The 17,631-nt window shown below is 36.2% G+C and overlaps 1 protein-coding gene and 1 long non-coding RNA gene across 5 annotated transcripts in view; one reads left to right on the top strand and one right to left on the bottom strand.

Moving 5' to 3' along the window:
- SAMMSON (survival associated mitochondrial melanoma specific oncogenic non-coding RNA) overlaps positions 1-17,631 on the bottom strand; it is a 435,002-nt gene that overhangs the window by 115,048 nt on the left and 302,323 nt on the right. The window lies entirely within an intron of this gene.
- Positions 6,904-17,631, top strand: part of MDFIC2 (MyoD family inhibitor domain containing 2) — a 118,160-nt gene continuing 107,432 nt past the window's right edge. For both annotated transcript variants that reach the window (NM_001364677.1, NM_001364676.1), the window contains exons 1-2: positions 6,904-6,991; positions 7,569-7,656. In NM_001364677.1, coding sequence (NP_001351606.1) covers positions 7,569-7,656 — 88 coding nt within the window. In that variant the 5' untranslated portion in view covers positions 6,904-6,991. The remainder of the gene's footprint in view (positions 6,992-7,568; positions 7,657-17,631) is intronic.

Genomic DNA, 17,631 nt, shown 5'->3' with positions numbered 1-17,631 from the left:
GACAGAGAGAGAAGACTATCTCTACTGTGTGATTGATTGGAAAGATAGGAGTAAAAGAATTTCAAAAATTTCTTCTGCTTTTGGTCATGATAGAATACACTGGACTTGCATTATTCATACATAGTTATAAAACCAGACAAAATATATGAAGAAGCTATTTTCAAGCCTAAGACTACAGGCAGAACAAGACTGATTCTTAAGAGTAGGGAAACACAAAAGATGAGCTACATGTTTGCTCCAGCTCTCGACTTCACTGTCCTTTTCCTAATATAGTGCAGGAAGGTGAAACCCAAATTTAGTGGCAGACTTGCTGAGCTAAGGCAGCAAAGACAAGAGTTTGGGTTGTTGAAGTGGCTGGAATTTGCAGTGTAGGGTTATGGAGAAGAGGGGACTCTATAATGTAGAGAAGAGACAGGGTTCACCACAGATAGTCTTGGCTAAGGGCTCAGCTGTGCATACAAAGGATGAGACTTGAATAAATCTGGCAAAAAGTAGCTTTTGTGAGACTGAGCACTGAACATAGGTATCACAGTTAATACAGTACTAGCAGACACTCTGGCTCAACCAAAGAGGAGATATTTCCTTATGCACTTTGGGCATTTATTTGACACCTAAAAAATAACATGCCTTGGACACAATTACCAGGTCCTAAAGCATGAACTACATCCTAAGACTAAGCAAAAAGACTGAAAATGACCCATTATCAGAAAAAATAAAATAAAACCTGGAAGAATCAAAAGGTTATACCAGTAATTTAACTACTTGCTATGACAAAATTCAACACCCTCTAAAAAGAACACAGCATTGTCCAGACTCTCTACCATGTATCATTCACAATGTCTAGCATACAACTAAAAATATTAGATGTTTGAAGAATCAAGAAAATGTAACCCACTAACAAGAAAACAAGCAGTCAATAGAAGACCCAGATGTTGGAGTTGCCAGAAAGTGACTTTAAACTAGGTATAATAAATAAGACCAAGGAATTAAAGGAAAAGATAGTGATCATGTATGGGAGATAGGTAGTATCATCTAAGAAGTAAGAACTACACACACACACTCACACACACACACACACAAAATGTTAATTCTCACACTGAAAGTGTATTTAAAATGAAAACTATGCCAGGTTGCCTTAATGGTAGATTGGCAACTGCAAAAGAAAGGGTTAGTGACCTTGAAGACAAATCTATAGGAATTATTCAAACTGAAGAACAGAGAAAAGGGACTGGGGAAAAAAATGATCAAAGCCTCTATGAACTGTGTAAAAATATCAAGTGGTCTAATATATGTGTAATTGGAATCCTAGAGGGAGAAATACAGAGAATGGGACAGAAAAACAATATCTGAAAAAATGATGGGCCAAGTGTTCTAAATTTGGTGAAAAACATCAACTTACCAAACCCAGAATCTCAGCAAAACCCAAGTAGACTAAAAATACAGAGAAAATTACATCTAAGTACATCCTAGTCAAATTCCTGAAAGAAAGAAAAAGAAAAAACAGTGAAAGAGGCCAGAGAGGAGAAAAAGACACATTAGATATAGAGGAACAATGATAAGAATAATGTTTTTTAAAAAGAGAAAGAGAGAGAACAAAAAAAACCTGTCAATAAAGAATTCTATATTCAGCATAAATATCCTTCACAGATGATAGTGAACTAAAGACATTTTTAGACAAATGAAAGCTTAAGAGGGTTTGTCACCAGGATATCCACATTTCAAGAAGTGCTGAAAATTCTTTAGGCTAAAGAGGAATGATATGAGATGAAAATTCAGGTCTACTAGATGTAATGAAGAAAACCAGAAATGGTAACTTAGAAAGTAAACATTAAACGAATTTTTTTCCTCCTAATTTATTTTTTAAGACAGCTAAGTGAACAGTGTGTTTCTATACACGCGTGTATATCCATATATATATATACATATATACATACATATATATATACATACAGATACACATATTTTGAAGATATTGCAGGTTTAGTTCCAGACTGCTGCAACAGAGTGAATATCACAATAAAGTAAGTCACACCTATTTTTTGGTTAGACAAAAAAACAGTTTGTATAAAAGTTATGTTTACTCTATATTGTAGTCTATTAAGTGTACAATAGCATTATGTCTAAAAAAATTGTACTTATCTTAATTAAAAATACTTTATTGGTAAAAATTACTGACACCTGAAGTGAACATATATTGTTGGAAAAAAATGATGCCAGTAGACTTGACTAATGCAAGGTTGACACAAACCTTCAATTTGTAGGAAACAAATGCAATATCTGCAAAGCACAATACAGCAAAATGCAATAATATAAGATATGCCTGTAAGCCTGTGTATATATACACACACTTACAATGCTTGCGGGATTATAACATGTGTAGATGTGAAATATATGAAAATAATAGTACAAAGGAGAGAGCATGTAAATGAAATTATATAGTTATAAACCTATTACCCATAACATGAAGTGGAGCAACATTTTTGCTATGTGAACTATATTAAGGATGCATATTGTAACCCCCAGAGGAACCAAGAATATCCGTAACACACCACCTACTAGCAACTGTTATTCACATGTTTATCCTTACACGATTTCTCAATGCCAGCCAAGGTCTCAGTTAGAAAAAGCAGGTATAAAAATAATTTGGTCAAGATAAGCACCCTTTTTAATGACCTGGCATGAAACAAAGATAAAATTTAATGCATTTTGTAACACTGAGTGTTATTTTTCATACCTAAATTTTGGTGAGATCTAAGATCTCATAAATCCTTGAATTCGCATGCCTTGTGGTGTTAGCTGTAACCTTCTCCTGGGAGAACCTATGTTACAAATATGGAATTTTCTTCTTGGTTTATTTACCTTTACCTTTGATACCTTAGACTAGTGTTGATTTATACCATGTGTATTTTCATATCAAGGCCGAAAAGTTCCAAAAAGAATTCTTTTAATGTGCAATATTTGATGGTATATATTGGTCATTAGAATGGCTATTTAAATTTTTTAACTGAGTATACTGAACAACAGAGATTCCATTCTGTAGCAGAAAACATACTTTCAAAGCAGTAGTACACCTTCTTATATCATTTGTATAGGATCTAATCCAGAAATCTTTCAGAGAGCTCTATAAATGATAGTCCTCAAATTCAGTAATCTGAGTTGGTGACATACCTACGCATTGATTAATTTCATCTTCTTACATTATATATATAATTTTATTGTTTTAAAAACACTGAAAAGTGATAATGTGATATTTTAAAGGCAAAAGGACTCGTGATAGCAACTGATTATTTGTTTGTTCAAAAAGCTCTAGCTTCATGCATTTAATTCTATTTTAACAGGAAAAGGAACATAAAATGTGTGATAATCTTGCAGATTACTCTGTTAGCAAAGATTATCTTCTGCTGGATAGTTTGCCCTTAAAGATTATATTTCTGGATCAGATTTTGATTCAGAATTAGGGATACTGAGGCTTGAGTCAAAATAAAGGGAACAGAATTATAAAAAGAAGTGTACATTTGCAGTTATTTCCATTTTAAAAAGAAAGCAGACTTTAAGAAGAAACCTTGAGCCTTGAGACCACATCCCTGGTTATTAATTATTTAGTTCATTATTTTAAATGGGCTCAATGAACACTCTTTGTACAGGGAATCATTTAAAGATGTATTTACTCTTCTTGGATTCTAATCAGATTTGCCTGATGTCCTAGGCTGGCTTGTCACTTTTGAGCGTTTGGTTGGGTCTCTGTGGTTTCCCAGTCTGTCTTGCCTGGAGTTCATCAGACTGGATTCTCTTTACTCCCAGCCATCAACTGTGGGTTCACTTTGTTCATTCCAAGGCCCAGCCCATCTCAAGAGACTAAATCTTAGTCCAAACCAGACTCCATTACCCAGATGACAATTTTGGGGGGCCCAAGGATATCACTAGGTGGATCAATAAATGGGTTAAATGTTGGCATCATTATGGAATACCCTTAATGTCCAACAAGGACAAGTGATATAAAGTTGATCCAGGAAAAAGTACTTGGTGTCTGTTCTTACCATCCTTCTAATGAAGTGGATGACAAAAATGGAATATTATGCTAATTAATACCTACAGCTCTTATAAGGAATGACTGCAGCAATAAAATTCAAAGTAAGTTTGTCTAACTTTGAAAAATGTTGCTGTTCAGAATGCAAGAAAATTCTATATAGAAAATTTGAGGAATGCTATACTCTCTTAAGAACAAAAGCCTGTTCAAAGGGCAAAGGCAAAATCAAATGGCAGTTAGAGGCCAAGCAGAGAAAAATGATAAAGAAAAACAACAGAAAAATTCCAAGAGTTAGGACTGACCACATATTGAAAATACATCAGCCAAATTGAATATTATGTCCAAATTAGTCACCACACTATCTTCATAAATCTTTCCTCTTCAGAATAAACTCTTGTACAGAGATTCTATTCTAATGCTTCGACTTAAATAATTATATCATAGTAATTGGAAAAGTCAGGCAAGTGGAAAGCATTTATAAGTCAAGAATTATCAAAGGATAACTGTAATCAAAGAATCCATACTCTCCAAAGTGAGAAATTCAGACAAGGATTTAAGCAGTGGATTGCTCTTGGGACAGAAAATTTAAAAAACTGTTTAGTTGGACATAAGGATACAAGTATATAAAAATGAACACAGAACCTTAGAAAGCCTTCAAAATGAACCTGGAAGCATCTCAGGTTTGTGGGTAGGAATGGATTCTCTGCCTTAGAAAGCACATGAAGATATTACATGACTTGTAACCTTACAAAGATCCAAATCCATCTTGGAATTTTAAAATATATATATTTCTGCTGAGGAACAATATTGATAATCATATGGTCAAATATTAAAATAAAAGTGAAAATAAACTGGGAGGACTAGTAGCTTCAGCCGTGTCCCTGGCTCATTCTCTCCAGGTTCTTAATTGTCTTTTCTCATCTAGATATTTTTGCCTTAAATTTCCTTTATCTCTTGTGTTGTCTCTGCTCATTGCTTAAAGATCACTGTGATTATTGTTGTTCAAATGTCTTTCTGGCCCCACTAATATGTAAAGTTTAGATAATTTGCTTTTCCAAAAGACAGTGATTAAATTATTAAGGAAATTAGATTAGGTTTCCAAATGCCCGAGGAAGTGACATCAAACACTGTAACTATGCATAGAAAAGAGACAAATTAAGGGAATTTGGTAATTATATGTATTCTACAACTTTGGAACAAAGGAAAATACTGTCATCAGTTTTTGATATGCTGTTTTAGTTTATCTAATGATTATTAATTTGTGGGCAATCATGTTAAACACTGAGACAGATGCATAAAATACTGAGATAGAGGCTAGGCCCTTGGTTGCACTGGGGGGAGGAGGAGGTTATAGTTTTGTCAGGAAGATGAGAAAGGTTTACAGAAGATTAGAATGGAGACTGATCATATCAAAAGTCCCAAGTAAGATCAGAGAAGGGTAAGATCATCTCCAGGTGAGAGAGATGAAGAAGCCTTCAAGGTAGGGGTGGAGATGGAAACATTTCTAGGAGTATTGATAACAGAAGCAAGTCCCTCCAAGGAACAGCCACAATGCAATTAGGTTGGAGTAAAATGTTAGGAACCTTCAAGAAATCTTAAAACTTTGTGGGCCCCAGTTTGAAAACTGTGGTATAGAATCTGACCAGTCAAGGTCTTCCTTACCCATCTAAGGAATCTGAAATTTATCTTATTAATAATGGGAGAAACAAAACTATTTTAGTAAGAAAATTGGCTGATGAAGGTAGTTTTTAAGGATTATATAGTGGGAGCAATGTACATAAAGAAATGAAGTTAGGAAACGAGGTGAAATGGATAAAGGAATCTGATAATGGACAATTGTCCAGGTAAAGACACTGGAGGAGGCAAGCCACCTTGAGACAAAAAATAAATATTATTTTCCTTGATGAGAAAAATGACAACTTTTAGAAATGGTGGGCTATTCATCATGATGTGTACCCAAGGGTTATGCTTTCTGTTTTTAATCTTCCATTGAAAACAGTATTATCCTTTTTTCTTTTCCTTTTTTTTTTTTCCTTTCAGACAGTGTCTTGCTCTGTTGCCCAGGCTGAAGTGCAATGGCACAATCAGGGCTCACTGCTGCCCCGACCTCCTAGGCTCAAGGGATTCTCCCACCTTAACCTCTCACATAGCTAGGATTATAGACATATATCCACACCCAGCTAACTTTTAAAAAAAAAATTTAAATTTTTGTAGAAATGGAGTCTCACTATGTTGCCCAGGCTGGTCTGGAACTCCTTGCCTCAAGCAATCCATTTCTTGTCTCAGCCTCCTCAAAGTGCTGGGATTACAGGCGTGAGCCACCATGTCTGGCAAAAATCTGTATTATCCTTACCTAAGAATTTAATGACATATCATCTTTGGAATGTTATTCCAAACTCCCTTTGGAATATCTACAGATGATCAAAAAAAACTTGAAATGTTTTCTTGTTGTTTATAAAATATTAGGTGGAAAAAACACTCACTTTTCAAACTATCAACTACAGGATGAATTTCCAGAGTGTAGCTTTAAAGGTTTCCCTTTCTTTTCTTTTAACCAAAATAGCCTGTGTATATTTTTCAATACATTTTTTTCTACATCTTTTAATATTAACTTGAAGTAATGAATGGCAGGGATGGAAGAAACTTGGTCCAGTTGAAAAGTTCATTATTTTTTTCCTATTTTGCAGAATGTCATTTTAAATAAGTGCTAGCCTGGAGAAGGTTTTTATTGTTTTCAACCACAGGCTTTATATTACCTTAAAAAAAAAACACAAAAAAAACTCTCGGCCGCAAGTTAGATGCTTCTGGCAGCAATACAAATCTAGCACCACCCCGGGAGGGAGTGTATTTGCTTCTTCACTCATTTTTGTCAGGATAGAGGAATGCTGGACATCCAGAGACAAGGGAGGCTGCAGCTCACTGCTCCCCAGTCCCACACCTTGGGCCTCCCTTTGGAACACACAGGTGAGTACCTTGCAGTGCTGATTCAAGCAGAGCTCATTGCGAGCAAGCCATGAAAGTCAAGTGCACTGCACCGAAGGTTCGTAATAGGTCTCGTCAACACCTTCAGGGAGCTCAACTTGGCCTGGTTTAGGTCATAAGGTTCTTATTCCCACCCAATAAATTCCTGAAAAGATGCTTTTGTGTTTTATTGTTATTTGTCTCTTTGCATACCACTTTGCAGCATGCTTTTCTATAGGCTATAGAAAATACTAAAACAGCTACTGAATGTTTGTTTGTTTCTTACAAATCCATGGCTAGTTGTTAATCTGTTATTCTTTCACATTGAGAAATTGTAAGGTCTTGTAACAATCTTTGTTGCTGGGCAAAGAAATATCATATAAAGTTTAGTTTTCAATGTCAATGTTTTAAAATAACACAAATGAATAAAATGTTAAGACTTAACATTGGACAGTGAACTGAAAAACTATAGAGATAAAATTTTCCCATAATATGGCAGTAGTTTCTAAATATAAAACTCGATGTTATAAATTTGGGTTCTTAATGAATTTTTTATATCACAAATTCTGTTTCCACTTAGATGTCAGAAACTGAGCTGGAAAAGATAAAAGTAAGAACAGCTGAGCATTTAGAAAATGATAAAAATAACATTTCTTGGTTGAAAGAAGGTAAGTCTTCTTGCTCTTGATTTTCTATTGGTGTGAAAATTTTGCTTTTGTTTATAAGCAAGGAATAGTGTGGGAGAAGGAGGAAATTGTCCTGACCGTTCAAATAGTAGTACTTCTGATTTTCACTCTTTTCTTTTTTTTTCAAATTCTTATGTGGCCTAAGTGGTTGTTTGAGGATCTTTATTATTAAAATGCTTCTTGTGGTCCCTGTATTGCAGGAAACATAGATTACTTTGTTGGTAAGACTTAATATGCATTTTCTACTCAGACTTATATTATCTGTGAGGTCTTTGCAGTGCTGTAGATTTTTCTCCTTTATAGCCAAGAAGACTAAATAATTTAAGGACAAGTATTTTTAAATAATAATCACAGAAAGGAATGCTTGCTATAGGAAAATATGTCTACAAATAGAATCACCATTCACTGCAATTAGAGAAGCCACCTTCCCAGGGGAGAATGCTGTCGGCCATGGGCTCCGCATGCGTAAAATGGTTGCTTGAAATACGCACACAAATCAATATGTTCTCCTAATGAGTACAGATTTGCGCACTTTTGAAAATACAGCTAAACCTGTGATTATTTACTAGAAGGCACGGTTTTATAATTTTTTGATTTTATGATCACTTTTAATATGTCAAAAAGGTAACATTTGATATTTTATCTAAATAGGTATGCTGCGTCTTTTTCAGCATTTAATGAATCTATTATATTGTAAAAGGACAGCTCTTACTTAAGTAGTTGACATTCTTAAAAATTGCTTTATAAGGTTGTAGGAAACTCTAATAAATATGTCATGTTAATTAGACAACACCAAAATAATGATAACAATAACATCAACATTGACAATGTTTATTGATATTTATTGATGATTTTGCTGAATCATCATGACAACCCTGTGAAGCAGTTATTATCCTTAATTTACCAATAAGAAAATTGAGCCTTAAAGAGTTCTAGTAACTTGCCTAAAATTACAAAATTGGAAAGTGCCAAAGCTGAGATTCAATGCCAGTTTGTGTGATTCTACAGCATGTGAATGTAACCACCACCTCATCATGTTCCAAAGAAAAAAAATGTTTAAGTTACTCGTCAGAACATGATCTGTGCTCAAAAATGTTTTCCTACAGTGTTGAAATCAACACCTCCAACTTCATCATACCCTCACATCCACTCTTGTCCTTAATCTCACCCTACCCCCAACCCTAATTTAAAAATACACCTATGGCCGGGTGCAGTGGCTCACATCTATAATCCCAGCACTTTGGGAGGCCGAGGCGGGTGGATCACTTGCGGTCAGGAGATCAAGACCAGCCTGGCCAACATGATGAAACCCTGTATCTACTAAAAATACAAAAATCAGTCAGATGTGGTGGCACACCCCTGTAGTCCCAGCTACTCAGGAGGCTGAGGCAGGATAATCGCTTGAACTGGGGAGGCAGAGGTTGCAGTGAGCCGAGATCACACCACTGCACTCCAGCCTGGGTGACTGAGCAAAACTCTGTCTCAAAAAAATAATAATAATACATAAAATTAAAAATAATAAAAATATACTTATTTTAAAAAGAAAAAAGATGATTATTTCTGCCCAATTCCCCACCAAGCAATTTTAATAGTAGGACATTATCTCTTTAAGAGACTCTAATTCAGGACTAAAGTTGATGCAGACAAAAAGTATTTCCAGAATCATTTCTGTTAAAAGCTTGAAAATTCTCTAACTTCTTTTTTTGAAAAGGTCTTTTAAATAGAATCCTTTAAAAACAATGTAGAAGGAAAAAAAGTAGAACATGCATCAAAGAGCCCCTGTGTTTTTCTTATGAATCTCAAATCCATGAAGATAGAGATGTTCTTCACCACCACTTATGGTGAAGTTCATATTATTTATTTTTACTTTAATTACTCTGTGCTACAGATGTCTCATACAGAAATAATAATGAAATTGATAGGCCAATCAATTGTTTCCTAAAGAATTTTCTTTAAAAAAAGAATCGTGTCCATTAAGTACAGCGTAGGCATTGAATTCTTGTAATCTATAAAATCTAATTTCCCAGGTGACCTGTTTTATCTCATTTGGACACTTCATTTAAGCTACACTCGAATTATGTTTACTATATTTCATAAAAGGAAATTGAGCCAGATGCTAGATGACAACATCTTAATTGGGAATTATCAGGATGAGTTAGTTTTCAAACATAAATGTCTTTTTTTTCAATGTTAAGAAAAAGTATATGGGTTGGCATATATTTAAAAAAGTCAAAGTGGTGCAGTAAAAAGAGCATGGCATTTGGAATCAGGCAGGCATGGTTTCTAAATCTCAGCTCAGCCATCTACTAGCTGGGTGATTGTGCCATGTTACTTTATCTCCCTGAGCCTCAATTTCCTAGCTGGGGACTAGAATGCTTGCTTTATGAGATTATGGGAATGTGATTTCATTACTTCTCTGTTTTTTTCCCTCTTTAAAAGCATTACTCAGAATAATACAGTTATGTTTTTTGAGAGCTTAGTTCACACTTTGAACCATTGGTAATAGCAACAATGCTTTTTATAGTATTTTATATAAATTCCTCCTTTTAATACCTACAACAAAGTGGTATGCAGTGGTACTGTCCCCATTTTACAAATTAAGGGATGTAGGCTTGGAAAGACTTTACATCTTGCTCAAATTTGCAGGGCTCTTAAGTGGCAAATTGAATCTCCAACCTCGGTCTTTGAGGTCCAAATTCTATTCATTTCATTAAACCATTTTATTACAGTGACTTCCACAACAGTTATCAATCAGAATTTTAAATGTGTCGACCTCCAACCTCCCTCACTCCCCCTTAAAAAAATAATACAGATACTTTCAGTTGTTCAAAAAAGTGTTTTTCTCATTAAGAACAAAGTGGTTACATCTCACATGACAGTGACTCTGCTGCCTCCCTCTGGAACTCCAGCTGAACACTGCTCACTGTTAAAATGTGGGTAATCACAGCAATGCCTTATTCGGCTTGGAACAAGCACTTCACTGGAGTCACTGACACAAAGCACTGAGTGCACTGCTTGATTTCAGAGTGAACATGCAAGCAACAGGAGTTACTACCATCATCACCATTCTGAGTACTGCTATTATTTCTAACTTCTCGACTTCAAACATTCATATCATTTATCCAACTCAATTCAGTGTTATTAATTGGAGAGACTAGAGACAAGGTGTAAGTGTGGCAGAGAACAATACAAAAAAGAAATACTCTCCTGCACTCAAGGACCTTATTATTCATTCATCTCATTCAATCGTCTTGCTTTTGCCAGGAAGGCAAAGAGGCTCCTAATTGCCCTTGACTTTCCCCAAATGGGTCATGGGCCTGTTCACATCAGTGGTGGTGTCAAAGAGATCTAGGAAAGCCACAGCCAGAGCTGTTACAAAAAATTAGACTAAATTTTATTTGAGAAACACCATTGACAGACCCAAAAAATCATTCATTTTAAAACCATGCTTGGAGAAACCCTCTTTTAAGATAATCGGATAAACAAGGCATGATTTAAAAATATGCAGCATTGCTCAGCATAGTGACTCATGCCTATAATCTCAGCACTTTTGGAGAAGATGGGAAGATCCCTTGAACCCAGGAGTTTGAGACCAGTGGTGAGATACCATCTCTACAAAAAAAAAATAAAATAAAAACAAAAAAATAAAATTAGCTGGGTGTAATGGCATACCCCTATAGTCCCAACTACTAGACAGACTGAGGCCAGAGATTGCTTGAGCCTGGGAGGTTGAGGCTGCAGTGAGCTATGATCACACCACTGTACTACAGCCTGAGCAACAGAGCAAGACTCTGATTCAAAATAAAATAAAATATATGCACCAGGCAGGATGAGCTGCATTATGCAAACTGTGGGCCAAGGTGGTCTAGGAAGTCCAGTCTTGAAGGCAGTCAGTCTCTTTGCACAGGTGGAGAGAAGGAGGTGATGCAGGGAGCAAAGGCATCAGAGGCTGGAAGATGCCTATTTCAGTGCTAGGGAAATGGGCATATTGGCTGATTATTCATATACGGAATAATGCAAAATGAAGTGAGAAAACCGATTGAGTGCTGACTGTAGGTTAAGTAGTGGACATTGGTTCTGTGTTGTCACTGGAGGCCTGAGGACAAGAACTAAGAAACAGAGGCAAGGCTTGTGTGATATGAGCCTGTAAATATGTAACTGGTGTGCAAAATGGGGTGGAGCCAGCAGATGAAATGTTAAGGGAAGGGGGTGGTGACGGCTAATACACACAGCTACATTTAGCAGCCTTGAAGCGAGAAAAATATGACCTGAATGAAAGCCATATCAAAGAGAAGGAGAAAATAGGCCCAAATGTGAAAACTTTATGGAGGAAAAATTGTTATAACATAGAAATTGGGGGGGGAAATTACAGGTGGAATAGGATGTCAGGTAATACCCCATTAAGCCAAGGAGCATTCTGGGTAAGCATTTCAGTGCCTGTAGCTTACACCATTTGATACGGAAGAGAAACATCAAGATGAAGGGATGGAAGCCCTTAAATTGTTGCCATTTGCAGTTTAAAATCACAGCATTGTCAGCGTTTGAAGTGCACACGATTTCTTATAGTGTCTCCTGATTTTTCAGGAGAAACTGGAAATCTGGATTTCTTTGTGAGATCTCCTGATTGTTAAAGGTTAAGTAACAACAACAACAATAACAACACCACCACCAAAACAACAACAATAAAATACCAAGGACAAATGAAACCAGGCTCTGGGGTCTATTTCAGCCCACAGACTGCCAGTTTGCAGCTTCTGTTCTAGGAGGGTGTATCTCTAAATGAAACCTAATATAATTTTCTGAAAACTGGTTTTCCATAAACATTGCTGCATTGGCACAGATTTTCTCTCTATCTCTCTATTTGTCTCTCTCTCTATATATATAAATATATACACACATACATATACATATTTATTTGTATGAGCAAAGTCAAAGTCAATGTGTATATATGTACATATATATGCATATACATACATATTTATACATATGAGCAAAGTCAAGACACCAATCATATGACCTAAAAAATGTGAAGCTAAGAGTATTGAAATAAGTTTTTTGTCCTTCAGAAAACTAGCTACCTATAATTGTTTTAGTGGGACATTTTATTCACAATTGTCACCAATAGGGGAAAAACAAATCATTCCAAGTTCCAAGTGTACCTTTAATGCACCAAAGCAGTAGTTTTGCAATCTTCTAACCAGATGTTGGTGCTGTCCAATGACTGTTAAATTGTGTTGTACCCAAATGGGAAAATTCATGAGAGAGAAAAAAAATGATAAAAAAAATAGGGGGTGGGGAATGGGCAATAAACAAGCTTTATTCTCTCCTTCCATCCATGCCAGGAAGGAAAGAGTGTGAAAGATGAGAGTTCTGTAGTTATTTTGAATTAAGTATAGCTTCTTTTCTGTAAGCAGTCACATGACGACTTCAATCTTTGATGATATAAAAACGATTATTGGCCGGGTGAGGTAGCTCATGCCTATAATCCCAGCACTTTGGGAGGCCGAGGCGGGTAGATCATGAGGTCAGGAGTTTGAGACCAGCCTGGCCAACATGGTGAAACCCCGTCTTTACTAAAAATATAGAAATTAGCCGGGCTAGCCACGTGTGGTGGCGAGTGCCTGTAATCCCAGCTACTCGGGAGTCTGAGGCAGGAGAATCACTTGAAACTAGGAGGCGGAGGTTGCAGTGAGCTGAGACCACGCCATTGCACTCCAGCCTGAGTAAGAGAGCAAGACTCCATCTCAATAAATAAATAAATAAATAAACTCCATTATTTAGGTGAATTTTGGAGGAAATGCCTCTAAACTTATTTAGTGTTGACATAGAAAAGTTACATCATCAGTGTTTTGGCACCTTGAATACACTGGTTATCATGGTTATCAGAATTAACACATATTAGAGACTAATAATCCAAAATACTAGAAAAGAGCCTAGAGGTCCAAAAAAATCCAGGTTCCAAAAATTCCCTTTTCAATATAATGCAAAATCTCAAATGCATAATAGAAAAATCTCATCTCATTCCTAAACTTTCATGTTTGTGTTCAAATAAGACGAAGAAACTGAGAATCTTTCCCACATTTATTGACATTCATAAATTCACTGGACTTTCCTTCTTTAATTCTAAGTGAAGACAACTTACTTCATTTCCTCAAAAAATAATTTTGGATCATGAACATTAATAGAATTCTGAAATATGCATTTTGTTCAACTCAGCAACCATTTGATGTGGCTCCTCTTGAACGCAGAGAAAACATGTGAGACAAAGAAACAAAGATGCCAAAAAATGAAAATGTCCTGCCCTCAAGGAACTCATGTACTTAAGTGCTTTATTATAATAACTAAATATTAATCCAATCTAATTCTCTCACTCAGATAATTCTCATTTCTAAACGGGATATTTTTTGTATCTCATTTAAATATTAAGCCACACTAATGCTTATTTTAAATTGTTAACTTCCCAAATAGCATATCTTGAGACTCTTTTTACTATGTAAACACAGGTAATGGAATTATTAGCTCTTATTTCTGTAGTTTTCATTAACTCATGAAAGTGCGTTACCTAATAACAAAAATAGGGGTGAAGAAAAGGTAACAGCCAAACAGAAAGTAGTTTTGTTTTTAAGCATAGCCGACGGAAAAAAAAAGATGTGAAAATATGCCCTTGTAAGTCATATAAATGAGTAAAACAAGACCATGAAGTAGATAATTTCACAAGGGTAATTGTTTCGAAGCTTTGAAACAAGATGTTGTGATAGAGATTGGCATGAGGACTATCCTTTAGAATCAGTGGTCAAGGAAGTTCTCTCTGTGGGAAAGTTATTTGAGCTGAGACTTAAATAAGAAGAATGAGCCAGTGCTGCAAAAATCTGGGAAAAGCATTCCATTGGAGAGAACAGCCTGTGCAAAGATAGTACAGCTCAGAGTAGCTGGATAGAAAGGAAGGAAGGGAAAGGAAAAGGGAATGACGAAAAAGGGGAAAGAAGGAAAAGAAGGTGCTTAAATTGGAAATAATGCAGAACCTTGTTGGTCAGTTGGGAATCTGGATATTTTTTTCGCCTATTTGGAATTAGAAGCCACGGGAGATTCTAAACAGGGTAACATATGCAGTCATTTATATTGCATGAGGTAAAGAGAAGAAACAGAAATAAAGTAGGAGAGTATTGCTGTTGGCCATGCAAAAGATGGTAACTGGGATAGGATACAACTTTGAAGATGAAATAGAAATAATTGAATTTTAGGTCTATGCAAAGTTAGAACCAACAGGACTGGCTTGTGCCTTAGTGTGGGGTGATACAAAGAAAGGAATCAAAGGCTGACCCCCGGCTTTAGAAATTGTGAAATGGTAATGATGAATGGTGAAGTGAGAGAGAGAAATTGGCTAGAAAAGGGAGGAGCCAAAGATCTGGGTAGAGCAGGTTACTTGTGAAATGCCTCTGAGGTATCCCCATGGAAACTGTCAACTGGGCAATAGAATATATGAGATGAGTTATTCTATTTTGAGAAATGTGGACAAGAGAAGTCTTGAGATTTTGCTTAGATCTGAAGGATGAGATGGCATCTGTTGATGGGGAGAGAAATGGAAATTAAATAAAATTTCTGGTAGAAGGAATGGCAAGTATACAGGCACTGGGGCAGGAAAGAACGTGTCATGCTCCAAGAAGTGAAAGAAAACAGGAGTGACTGGGACATCTTCACCCAAGAGAAGGCTGGGATTCCATGAGTGTAGAGAGCTTGGCTGGAAGCAGGCCCTAGAGCCTTTCATAGACCCTGGTTGACATTTGGGATTGCAATAAACTCCTAACCCTGGGAATGCCTACTAAAGATATAGTTTATATTGTAGTAAACTCTATCCTACTACATTTTATTCTCTAAAGAACTATCAGGCTGGGCATGATGGCTCATGCCTGTAATTCCAGCACCTTGAGAAGCTGAGGAGGATGGATCACTTGAGGTCAGGAGTTTTAGACCAACCTGGCCAACATGGTCAAACTCCATCTCTACTAAAAATACAAAAAATTACACAGGCATGGTGGCACATGCCTGTAATTCCAGCTACTCAGGAAGCTGAGGCAAGAGAATCTCTGGAACCCAGGAGGCGGAGGTTGCAGTGAGCCAGGATCACACCACTGCACTTCAGCCTGGGCAACAGAGTAAGACTCCACCTCAGAAAAATAAAATAAAATAAAGAACTATCAAAGAGTGGCACATTACTTTCAAAATTCAGCAATATTAAAAGGGAGCTTTATCGGTTTTTGAGAGGAAAATAACATATACTGATTCTGGCTACATTAATGAAAAAGGTAATTTATTGGAAAATGCAAGAGTAGCTCACAATCTAGAAGGGAAATCTAGGTTCAGGAGAATCAGGAACTAATCTAGTTCTGGTGAGCCTAAGAGCAAGATATAATACATTCAGATCGCCACTTCTGGAATTAATTAGCTCCGCATAATTTTTTTTCCTCCTATTCTCCTCCTTAAGAGTCCAAGTCCCAAGGAAGAAAGCTCAATAACTTTGGCCATGAGTCTGACTCCTGGGTTAGCAAGCCAAGAAAACTTGACTGCCAGCACCATAATGCTACACACAATGAGAGGTAGATGCTTCTTCAGAGGGAATTCAGGGTTCGAGCATCAGAATAAAGGGAGAATAGATGCTGTGTGGCCCCAACATAATGTCTACTCTAAGAGCCAGTAGCAATGACCCATGCTCTTCTCCACAAGGAATAATATTTTCTTACGTGATATGTGCTGTTGATGAAGCACTGAATGTTTCAGGAAGGAGAATACTTACTTTAAATGTATTGGCCTTCTACTGAAGTTCAAATGTCAAAATCATTTTGATTCTCTGATAACTTTAATTTATATTTAGAAAGTTCAGCAAAAGATGAGATCTTCTGTGTTCTCATAGGCCAACAAATTAAATTCCAGTGTCACATCCTACTGCTGATGGTTAAAATTTCTTTCCAACTAAGCCTATGAAGTACTAAGTTCATTTCATATAAAATGATGAGATTGATCCCAACGGAATGAAAGGCCTACAAGATGCCATGTCAGGCTTCAGACTATGACCAGATGAATTAATCAGTGCAAAGTCCCGATAAGTTGTTAAATAGCACATTTAGAGACTCTCGTTCAATGATGATAAGGCAGTACATCAAATCCAGAATGATCTTAGCTCACCATTATTAATTGCAGTTTTATGAAGTAACAGTGAAGCAATCTGTAGAGACCAGGAACCAATCCTCCAGTCCCAATAGGAAGAAGACAATTGTAGATAACTAGAAATTTCAAGAAAGTTACACCTTTTAATAGAGATTTTCAGTAGAATCATTCATTTTCCTACAAGTCACAACAGCTGTTGATGTGATACACTTAATCAACATTAGTATAAAGAGCAGTCTTATAGTGAGAGGAAAAAAAAGTCTCTTATGTTTTATGCCTCAGGAATAAGGACATTCCATTTCTAGTAAATTCTACAAAGAGATACTTTACTTTTATAAGATTATGGCCCATTTCTTTCAGCTTAGGAACTGCATTTAGAGGAATATACTCGCTAATAAAATGCACCTACACTAGGTGTTCACCAGACCATTAGTAAAAAAAAATAAAAGATAAAAAAAGGAATGTGAACAGAGCAAATGAAGACATCACTCTACAGGCATAAATCATTTCAACCATTTTAGCCATTATTTAAGCCTGTCGAGAAGTAAATGTGCAGCAAAGATGAAAAGCAAGGGCAATGACAGTAGTTTTGCCAGCGTATAACTTCAAGAAAAAGTAGAGAGGACAACTCATAGAAGTATAGTATTAAATAAGACATCAGGCAATTCTTCTTCTTGAGCTAAATTTCCACACCAATATGGATCTGAAATGAAATAGCTACCCTGCAGAAAGTAAAGAAAAGTGCTTCATGATTTCTAATCTCAAACAACAGACAACAGAAGAAAATCTGCATTT

This window comes from Homo sapiens, chromosome 3 (assembly GCF_000001405.40).
Source record: "Homo sapiens chromosome 3, GRCh38.p14 Primary Assembly".
Taxonomy (NCBI): Eukaryota; Metazoa; Chordata; class Mammalia; order Primates; family Hominidae; genus Homo; species Homo sapiens.
Note: the sequence above shows the minus strand (reverse complement) of the source record. Positions and strands in the feature narration are given on the sequence as shown.